The sequence below is a fragment of the Homo sapiens genome, chromosome 7, assembly GCF_000001405.40.
Source record: "Homo sapiens chromosome 7, GRCh38.p14 Primary Assembly".
Lineage (NCBI taxonomy): Eukaryota > Metazoa > Chordata > Mammalia > Primates > Hominidae > Homo > Homo sapiens.
In genome coordinates, this window is record NC_000007.14 from 69,454,479 (window position 1) to 69,465,711 (window position 11,233).

At 44.1% G+C, this 11,233-nt stretch overlaps 1 annotated feature.

Annotated features, from left to right (window-relative positions):
• Positions 3,409-3,924: an enhancer, noted in NCBI's record as "H3K27ac hESC enhancer chr7:68922873-68923388 (GRCh37/hg19 assembly coordinates)". NCBI's record gives its function as "activates a minimal SCP1, AML or CMV promoter by ChIP-STARR-seq in naive H9 embryonic stem cells {active_cell/tissue: H9 hESC(naive)}" and the evidence as "EXISTENCE:reporter gene assay evidence [ECO:0000049][PMID:30033119]".

The window sequence follows — 11,233 nt, forward strand, 5'->3', positions numbered from 1 at the left end:
TGAGGCCAGGAGTTCAAGACCAGCCTGGCCAACATGGTGAAACCCTGTCTCTACTACAAATACAAAAATTAGCCGGGCATGGTGGCAGGCGCCTGTAATTCCAGCTATTCCAGAGACTGAGGCAGGAGAATCGCTTGAACCTGGGAGGCTGAGATTGCAGTGAGCTGAGATCACGCCACTGTACTCCAGCATGGGTGACACAGTGAGATTCTGCCTCAAAAAAAATAAAAAATAAAAATTAAAAAAAAATAAGCCATCCTGCAGGAAGCACTCCATTCTCACATTCTCACAGGATTCTTCTCCCTTTAGCAAAAATTTGGTAAGGAAGAAGACACGCCCTCCATGTATTTGTGCTCAACTCGAAACAAACTCTGCTTTCAAATAAATTGTGTTTCTGTGCAAAGACCTTCAGTGCCAAGTTAACCAAAAGACATTTCTCTTGTAAAGCCATGAACCTGCATTATACCTCTAATGGCTTATAAATAAATAATGGACATAAAAATAGCAATAATGAACTTGGAAAATACTAGCTAATTTACACCATAATAGAAATACCCAGGGATCTTTAACAATTGAAGGACCGATGCCAGCTTCTGTAGTAAGTACACCCAACCATATTATTCCACATGTGAGTGTAATTTCTAAATTGCAGTGTGTAATTCAGAACGGTGTATGCTCTCTGAAACGCAAAGAAGTATTTATATGAGTGCTATTCCTCAACTGCATCATTCCCTGATGAGAAAAAGCAAAGGAATTATTGGAAAATGTATTCATCAAGGCCCAGAAGCAGAATGTTTCAGAAAAAGGCTATCGTTAATTTTTTTTTTTTTTTTGAGATGGAGTCTCGCTCTGTTGCCCAGGCTGGAGTGAAATGGCACAATCTCAGCTCACTGCAACCTCCGCCTCCCAGTTTCAAGCGATTCTCCTGCATAAGCCTCCTGAGTAGCTGGGATTACAGGTGCCCACCACCATGCCCAGCTAATTTTTGTAATTTTAGTAGAGACGGGGTTTCACCATGTTGGCCAGTCTGGTCTCGAACTCCTGACCTCAAGTGATCTGCCCACCCTAGCCTCCCAAAGTGCTGGGATTACAGGCATGAGCCACCATGCCCGACCCAAAAAAGGCTGTCATTAATCTTTATGCAGTTGTGGAGATAAACCAGTGCCCCACGCCACATGAAGTGTACAGAGGTGTGAGCACTCATGTCCCAGCAAAGCGTGCCTTAAGGCCAGCCATTGATTGACGTGAGGAATGATGGGGACAGCTGCTGTGGATGAAAGGATCACACACACTAGTCACCTTTCCAAAACCCAAATCTGAACCCATGTAGTAGTTGGCAGTTGACTAGAGAGAAAAAAAAAATCTTGGCTGGGCGTGGTGGCTCACACCTGTAATCCCAGCACTTTAGGAGGCTGAGGCAGGCGGATCACAAGGTCAGGAGTTCGAGACCAGCCTGGCCAATATAGTGAAACCCCATCCCTATTAAAAATGCAAAAATTATCCGGGCATGGCAGTGGGTGCCTGTAATCCCAGCTACTCGGGAGGCTGAGGCAGGAGAATCACTTGAACTCGGGAGGTGGAAGTTGCAGTGAGCCGAGATTGTGTCACTGCACTCCAGCCTAGCAGAGAGAGACTCCATCTCAAAAAAAAAAAAAAGAAAAAAAGAAAAAAAAAATCTCAACTCTTAATTCCACATATGGGATCTTCTAAAAAACAGCCCCTCCCTACCTCAGGCGCTGCATTTTTAGCTTTCCTCCCTCACCTTGTTCAGTTTCCTCACTTTGCATCTTACACACCAATGATTTTGGAATATTTTGAGTTTTCTCAGCATAGCCTGATACAGTGGTTTCCAGTGGGGGTCATTTTGCTCCCCTTCCCGATTACTCCACCCTCCAGTGGACATTGAGAGACTCCGAAGACATTTTTTTCTTCTCCCTCCTCCCATCCTCCACCTTCAAGTAGTTCCCAGTGTCTGTTGTTCCCTTCGTGTCCACGTGTTCGCATCATTTAGCTTCCACTTATAAGTGAGAACGTGCGGTATTTGTGTTCCTGTGTTAGTTTGCGAAGGATAATGGCCTCCAGCTCCATCCATGTTCCTGCAAAGGACATGATCTCATTCTTTTTATGGCTGTATAGTGTTCCGGTATACGTGGACCTAACACTTTTTCTTTATCTAATCTGCCACTGATGGGCATTTAGGTGGATTCCATGTCTTTGTTTGTTATTGCAAATAGTGCTGCAATGATGTCAAAAGTCACCCTGAAGGAAGCACTCCATTCATACATATGCATGCATGTGTCTTTATGGTAAAATGATGTATATTCCCCTGAAGATATTTTTGATTGCTACTAGTGGAGGTGCTGCAAGCATCTAGCAGGTGTAGGGGTCAAAGATGCTGCTAAACATTCTATAGTTCACAGGACAGTCTCCCATAAAAAAGAAGAATCCAGCCCCAAATGTCAATAAGGCCACTTTTGAGAAACTCTTCCTTGGTAAATTGCATTAATGGCCCCAAATTTTTACCCATCCCTATTCCATACCATGAGTCATTTAATTTTGCAGTGTTATTTTATCATGGGAAGGGCTTCTTCCCCACTCTTGACTCCAGGCTTAGCTATGTGACTTACTTTGGCCAAGAGAATGTGGCAAAATGACAGTACTTTTTGTTTGTTTGTTTTTGAGACAGCATCTTGCTCTGTTGCCCAGGCTGGAGTGTGGTGGCACGATCTCAGCTCACTGCAACTCCACCTCCTGGGTTCAAGTGGTTCTCATGCCTCAGCCTCCCGAGTAGCTGGGATTACAGGCACACACCACCACACCTGGCTAATTTTTAGTATTTTTAGTAGAGATGGGGTTTCACCATGTTGCCCAGGCTGGCCTCGAACTCCTGAGCTCAGGCAATCCACCCGCCTCAGCCTCCCAAAGTGCTAGAATTACGGGCGTGAGCCACCCTGCAGCGGGCCAACAGTGCATGTTTCTACCTGGCTTTTACCTCCGCCAATGCCACAACAGACTTGTTAGTGATCTGGTAGCAGGAAAAGGATGAGAGACATATGGAACAAAGCCAGTCCCCAGCTAAGCCCAGACTAAATCCACCAACCCACAGGCAAACTCATGAGAAATAATTATCATTTTAAGCCCTTGAGTTTTGGGAGGATTTGTTATCAGTAATAGCTAACTATTACAGACACAATGCTGCTTCATGCTTTTGGACGTGCTGTTTCCTCTGCTTAAACATGTCCCCTACTCTCACCCCCACATGACTTGGAAAATTGTTCTTAATCTCTCAAAGCCCAACTCAGAGATCATCCTTCCTGGAAAACTTCTTGGATTCCCTGCAAAAAAGTAATCCATTCCTCTTTTCCTACAGACTTTAACTGTTGAACTGCCATATTTGTATTAACTTGTCTTTATCTCTTACTAGATAGGGAACTTACGAGAGCAGAGACTTTGTCTCAAATCTCACCCCAGGGCAGCACAATCAGAGTGGACACTCAGGAAATATTTGCAGAATACAAAGGGCTGGGCTGGAAGTTGGGGGAAGGTGATTATCAGAGACATTCGTCAGCTTTGGCTCTAGCCCTGGAATGGTGCCTGGAACGTGGCCCAATCCCCATGACAAAAGAAGAGACTATGGGCTCCAGCCTGTAGTCTGGATTTCCCTGCCAATCAAAGTGGTCATGGAGAGGAACAGCCTCTGCCATTACTGTTTAGCACAATGAAACTGTTTAGAGGAGAGCCTTACCTTCAGGAAATTCCAACGAGCCTGTTTTATTGTTACCCTCCAACAGTAATGACTCCCGTAGGATTAAACAGAGTGTAAAGTAATTGCTAAAACATCCCCTGCCGTGGACAGAGAAACCTGCACAAGACGTAATGCTCCCACTTCACTTGGGAGGGAGGGGGCTTGCTCATGGAAACAAAATGTGTCATTAGAGCTTTACAGAGTAGGAAGAGGCAGCAGTGGGAGGAAAAATGCAATGCAATACAGAAGAAAGAGTCCAGACTTTGGAAATGGATCCGCTCCAGTTGAAATCCCAACCACACCCCAGGTCGCTTCATGCCTCTGAATCCTGGTTTGCTCATCTGTAATACCGAAATATAAAACATGGCCAGACACAGTGGCTCACACCTGTAATCCCAGGCCAGGAGTTCAAGACCAGCCTGGCCCAAATGGTGAAACCCCGTCTCTACTAAAAATGTAAAAAAAAAATAGCCAGGTGTGGCGGTGCATGCCTGTAATCCCAGCTCCTTGGGAAGCTGAGACAGGAGAATCACTTGAACCCAGGAGGCGGAGGTTGCAGTGAGACAAGATCATGCCACTGCACTCCAGCCTGGGTGACAGAGCCAGGCTTTGTCTAAAAAAAAAAATATATATATATATATATATATGTGTATATATATATATGTGTGTGTGTGTGTGTGTGTGTATATATATATATGTGTGTATATATATATGTATATATATGTGTATATATATGTGTATATATATGTATATTATATATGTGTATATATATGTGTATATATATGTATATATATGTATATATATGTATATATATGTATATATGTATATATATGTATATATATGTATATATGTATATATATGTATATATATGTATATATGTATATATATGTATATATGTGTATATATATGTATATATATGTATATATGTGTATATATATGTATATATGTGTATATATATGTATATATGTGTATATATGTATATATGTATATATATGTATATATATGTATATATATGTATATATGTGTATATATGTGTATATATGTGTATATATATGTATATATGTGTATATATATGTATATATATGTATATATATGTATATGTATGTATATATGTATATATATGTATATATATGTATATATATGTATATATATGTGTATATATGTGTATATATGTGTATATATGTGTATATATGTATATATATGTATATATATGTATATATATGTATATATATGTGTATATATATGTATATATATGTATATATATGTGTATATATATGTATATATATATATGGAGAAGAAATGTAAAACATCTCTCTTCTAAAGATTGTTGCGATGATAAAACAGATAATTCATGTGAAAATGGCTGGTGCAGAGAAGCAGCTTTGGTAATTGGTTTCCTTTTCTCCTGCAGAAGTTTGGAGGAAAAACATACCTGAACAAATATGTCAAAATTAGAGGGCCAGGCGCAGTGGCTCACACCTGTAATCCCAGCACTTTGGAAGACCAAGGCCAGAGGATCGCTTAAGGCCAGGAGTTTGTGACCAGACTGGGTAACATAGCAAGACCTCATCTCTAGAAAAAAATTTAAAACTTAGCCAGGCATGGTGGTGCATGCCTATAGTCCCAACTATCTGGGAGGTTGAGGTAGGAGGATTGCTTTGGGCCAGGAGTTCAAGACTACAGTGAGCTATGACTTTGCCACTACATTCCAGCCTGGGTGACAGAAAGAGACTTTGTCTGGAAAAAAAAAAAAAAAAAATTGGCCAGGCCCGGTGGCTCACACCTGTAATCCTAGCACTTTGGGAGTCCAAGGCAGGTGGATCACCTGAGGTCAGGAATTCGAGACCAGCCTGGCCAACATGGTGAAACCCCGTCTCTACTAAAAAAAAAAACAAAACAAAAATTAGCCGGGCATCATTGTGGGCACCTATAATCCCAGCTACTCAGGAGGCTGAGGCAGGAGAATCGCTTGAACACAGGGGGCAGAAGTTGCAGTGAGCCAAGATTGTGCCACTTCACTCCAGCCTGGGCGAAAGAGTGAAATTCTGTCAAAAAAAAAAAAAAAAAAAAAAAAAAAGCACTTTGGGAGGCCGAGGTGGGCAAATCATTTGAGGTCAGGAGTTCAAGACCAGCCTGGCCAACATGATGAAACCTCATCTTTACCAAAAACATAAAAAATTAGCCAGATGTGGTGGCACATACTTGTAATCCCAGCTACTCGGGAGGCTGAGGCAGGAGAATTGCATGAACCCAGGGGGTAGAGGTTGCAGTGAGCCGAGATCGCACCACTGCACTCCAGCCTGGGTGAAACAGAGAAACTCTGTCTCAAAAAAAAAAAAAAAAAAAAAAAAAATTAAGACACCCAGGCCAAGAAAACATAAGCTCCAAAGAAATAGTCTTACCAAGAAACTGAGTAGGAAACAACACAGTGAGACTTGGAGGACAACTGAAACCTCTTTATCACCAGGGTAGACCCATGTGGCTGGATTCTGGCTGGCAGGCAGGAACCCACAACCATCTCTCTCTTGAAGGTTTGGCTTCATGAACCGGTGACCTGTGCAATCACACGGGGTCCTGTCAATTTTAAACAAGGGGTAACAGGTTTTTATTTTGTACCTGGCCTTGCAATTACGAAGCAAGCCCTGCTAGCTTGTTCTTCATTCCCTATGGATAAGGAGCATGATAGCTTTTCTCCAAGAACTCCTGTCTCCTAAGAAAGATGCATATATCTCACAGGGCCCAGACCACTGGGAAATTCAAGCCTGAAGTTTCCTGGAGCCGTCATTACCACACAAAATCTCTAGGACGGGTCCCTCATGTGTATAGGTAGGGGAGGACAATAAGGCTATTAGACAGAATACCTTCAACTGCAAATAAAGAATATGGGGCCAGCTGGGCATGGTGTCTCACACCTATAATCCCAGCACTTTGGGAGGCTGAAGTGGGTGGATCACTTGAGGTCAAGAGTTTGAGACCAGCCTGGCCAACATGGTGAAACCTCGTCTTACTAAAAAATACAAAACCTAGCTGGGCGTGGTGGTGGGCGCCTGTAATCCCAAATACTCAGGAGGCTGAGGAAGGAGAATCACTTGAACCTGGGAAGCAGAGGTTGCAATGAGCCGAGATCATGCCACTGCACTCCAGCCTGAGCAACAGAGTGAGACTCTGTCTCAAAAATAATAATAATAATATTGAGCCAAGAGTGCCTCAGACCAGGGGTCCCCAACCCCTGAGCCATGGACTGGTTGTTCCCTTCTTTGTGTCCATGTGGTCCTTGCAAAAACCAGGCTGCACAGCAGGAGGCGAGCAGTGGGCAGGTGAGCAAAGCTTCATCTGTATTCACAGCTGCTCCCCATCACTCGGATAACCACCTGAGCTCCACCTCCTGTCAGATCAGTGGCAGCATTAGAGTCTCACAGGTGTGTAAACCCTACTGTGAACTGTGCATGCGAGGGATCTAGTTTGTACACTCCTTATGAGAATCTAATGCCTGATGATCTGTCACTGTCTCTTATCACCTCCAGATGGGACTGTCTAGTTGCAGGAAAACAAGCTCAGGGCTCTCACTGATTTACATTATGGTGAGTTGTATAATTATGTCATTATCTATTACAATGTAATAATAGAAATAAAGTGTACAATTAATGTAATGCACTTGAATCATCCTGAAATCATTCCCCCCACCCCTGGTCCATGAAAACATTATCTTCCACAAAACTGGTCCCTGGTGCCAGAAAGGTTGGGGACCGCTGCCTTAGAAAATAGAGACATTTAGTTGTTTCAGCCAACTAGAAACCTGCAGAAAAGTCCTTCCTGGGTGATTCTGCATCTCTGCCACACTCCTTGCCTTGACTTAGTGATCACAATAAGGTTGCAGCTCCTCTAAACACCAGATCTGCCTACACCACCATCCAGAGAGGGAAGGGAAGAAGGGGACTCTCTTCCCACATCTATTTTTTTGAAATTTTTTGTAGAGCTGGAGTCTTGCTATGTTGCCCAGGCTGGCCTCAAACTCCTGGCCTCAAGTGATCCTCCCACCTTGGCCCCCTAAAGTGCTGGGATTACAGACATGAGCCTCTGTACCTGGCCAACATCTCTCTGCTTTTATGAGAGGAGGACATCTTTTCCAGAAGTTCCCCCAACAAATTGCTCTTTGGGTTTCATTTATCCAGAACTGGAACGTATGGCCACGGCTAGCTACCAAGGAGGCTACTGGGCAATAACAAATCTGCCATTGAGGACTGAGATGACTGTGGCCACTTTATGTGATCTGAGCAACGGTGGGCTGTGTAAGCAAGGAAGAAGGAAGAATGGCCAAGCGAATGGCCTTAAACTTAGTTGCCCTCCCAGCCCCATAGCTAATCCTGCCTTCATATGGCTTACTTCATTCACTACTCATTGCTGTCCAAAGCCTTTCTGGAACAGACATTGTGTGTGGTGTAAGGGCACTTCATCATTCCAAGAAAACAGCTCAACATGGAGGTCTCAGGCCCCCAGTTTTAGAAACCAGGCCGGGCGCGGTGGCTCACGCCTATAATCCCAGCACTTTGAGAGGCCAAGGCAGGCAGATCTCCTGAGGTCAGGAGTTTGAGACCAGCCTGACCAACTTGGAGAAACCCTGTCTCTACTAAAAAATTACAAAATTAGCCAGGCATGGTGGCACATGCCTGTAATCCCAGCTACTTGGCAAGCTGAGGCAGGAGAATCGTTTGAACCTGGGAGGTGGAGGTTGTGATGAACCAAGATCATACCATTGCACTCCAGCCTGGGCAACAAGAGCAAAACTCCGTCTAAAAAAAAAAAAGAAAGAAAGAAAGAAAGAAAGAAAGAAAGAAAGAAAGAAAGAAAGAAAGAAAGAAAGAAAGAAACTTCAGGGAGGTGGAATTGGTAAAAATGCAGAATCCTGTACTCTCTCTACACAGATAGAGATTTAGTAAGTCAAGAAAGAGGGACAAAAATCAGCATTTTTAACACACACTTCAGGCAATTCTTATGCACAGTAAAGTGAGAACCACTGCTTAACTCTTGCTAATACTCATGCAATTATAAAATACGTAAGATTATTCTTCTTTATTTATTAGTTATTAGAGACAATGTTTCACTCTGTTGCCCAGGCCGCAGTGCAATGGCACAATCTTAGCTCACTGCAGGCTGGAACTCCTGGACTCAAGTGATGCTCCCACCTCAGCCTCCTGAGTAGCTGGGAGGGTAATTTTGTTACTTGTTTTTGTTGTTGTTGTTGTTTCTGGTTTTTTGTTTGTTTGTTTGTTTTTTGAGACAGATCTTGCTCTGTCCTCCAGGCTGGAGTGCAGTGGCACTATCTTGGCTCACTGCAAGCTCCGCCTCCCGGGTTCAAGCCATTCTCCTGCCTCAGCCTCCCAAGTAGCTGGGACTACAGGTGTCCGCTACCACGCCTGGCTAATTTTTTTTTGTATTTTTTGTAGAGACTGGGTTTCACCATGTTGACCAGGATGGTCTCGATCTCTTGATCTCGTGATCCACCCGCCTCGGCCTCCCAAAGTGCTGGGATTACAGGCATGAGCCACCACGCCCAGCCTGTTTCTGTTTTTTTTTTGAGACAGGTTCTTGCTATGTTGCTCAGGCTGGCCTCAAACTCCTGGCCTCCAGCCATACTCTCACTTCAGCCTCCCAAAATGCTGGGATTTCAGGCATCAGCCACCATGCCTGGCCAAGATTTTTCCCTACTGCTATAGAACTAGTCCCTAACACCACAAATGGCACATAGTAAGCACTGAAAGATTTGTTCAGCAAATGAATTTTTATAAAAAGAGTATTGGTGGCCGGGAGCAGTGGCTCATGCCTATAATCCCAGTACTTTGGGAGGCCGAGGTGGGAGGATTGCTTGAGTCCAGGAGTTTGAGACCAGCCTGAGCAACGAAGGGAGACTCCATCTCTACAAATAATTTAAAAATTAGCTGGGCATTATGGGGGTGCACCTGTGGTTCCAGCTACAAGGCAGGCTGAGGCAAGAGGATCACCTAAGCCTGGAAGGTCAAGGCTGCAGTGAGCCATGTGATCACACCATTGCACTCCAACCTGGGCAACAGACCAAGACCCGGTCTCAAAAAAAAAAAAAAAAAAATGTCCCTGGGAAAGGCACTACCAACTTTTGCCAGGGGATTGGTGTTCTCCTGGGAAAGGAAGGTCTTGTGGGAACTAAAGACCTGATGAGAAATAGAAAGAGTAAGGAACAGGCTGAGAGGCCCCAAACACAGATTTTCCTACTTTGCAATTTTGTCTCTAAAAATCACATCCAGAGGGATCAGGAAAGTGTAACCGAGAGTGTCACCACCTCGAAGATAGTTGTGTTTTCCTTGAGTTGACAGAACAAGGGTGGAAATGTAATATAGAATTGTGTTGAGTCATATTAAATTAGGGCAGAATTCAGATCCTGGCATGGAACTTAAGATAATAACAGTCTATTGATTCGTGAATTGCATTCAGCCTGAATCGGGTCTGTCAGCCTAAAGCTGGATTTTGGCAATGGCATTATTTTCAGTAACATGGCACTTGAATATCAATATCAATAACATTCACCTGTAGAGAAGAAAAAATTAAACACCAACTACCATGACCCATAAGAATGATGGACCTCCCAATATATGCCATTAGGCAGGAAGGTCCTACAGGTCTGTGGCCCGGGGAGCCTGGGCTTCATCCCCTTGGGGAGGCTATAGCGTTGCTGCAGTGACCTCTGGAATATTTCATGAAAAACTCTCAGACTGTCTTTTTCCTCTGCTCTCACATCACAACTACTATCACCAACATAGAAGACTTCTGTGACAGAGGGGATGAGGGTTTATCCCCACACACCAAGCAGCAGACATCTGGGTGTCCTCCAATTTAATTCTGACACTATTCACATGGAGATGGTGTCAGATCCCATACACTGAGGGCTCAGTCCCCAAGGCTGCCCTCCCAACCGCCCGCCCCCCGACCCCACCCCGCCCCCCCACCCCACCCCGCCCAGTATCAGACACCAGCAGCAATTCTGGGGATCCGGAACTTCTGACCAATTGCTTCAGGTTGGAAATCCTATGACCCCCTCTTTGGGTTCAATTAATTAATTGCAGCAGCTCACAGAGCTCATGGAAACACTAACTTACATTTTCTGGTTTATTACGAATGAGAATGCAGAGGAGACAGATGAAGAGGTGCAGAGGGTGAAGTATGGGAAAGAGGCACAGAGCTTTCATTGTCTTCCCTGGGTGCAATTTCCTCCAGGAACCTCCATGTGTTGAGCTATCTGGAAGCTCTCCAAACCCTGTCCTCTTGGGTTTTTCTGGAGGCTTCATTATGTAGGCATGATTGATAAAACCATTAGCCACTGGTGATCAACTTAACTTTCAGCCCCTCTCCTGGAGGTGGGGACTGGAGTTGAAAGTCTCAACCCTTTAATCCTGCCCTGGTCTTCCCAGTGACCAGCCCCACCCTGAAGCTATCAGACAAAAGACCCAGAAAAGGGCT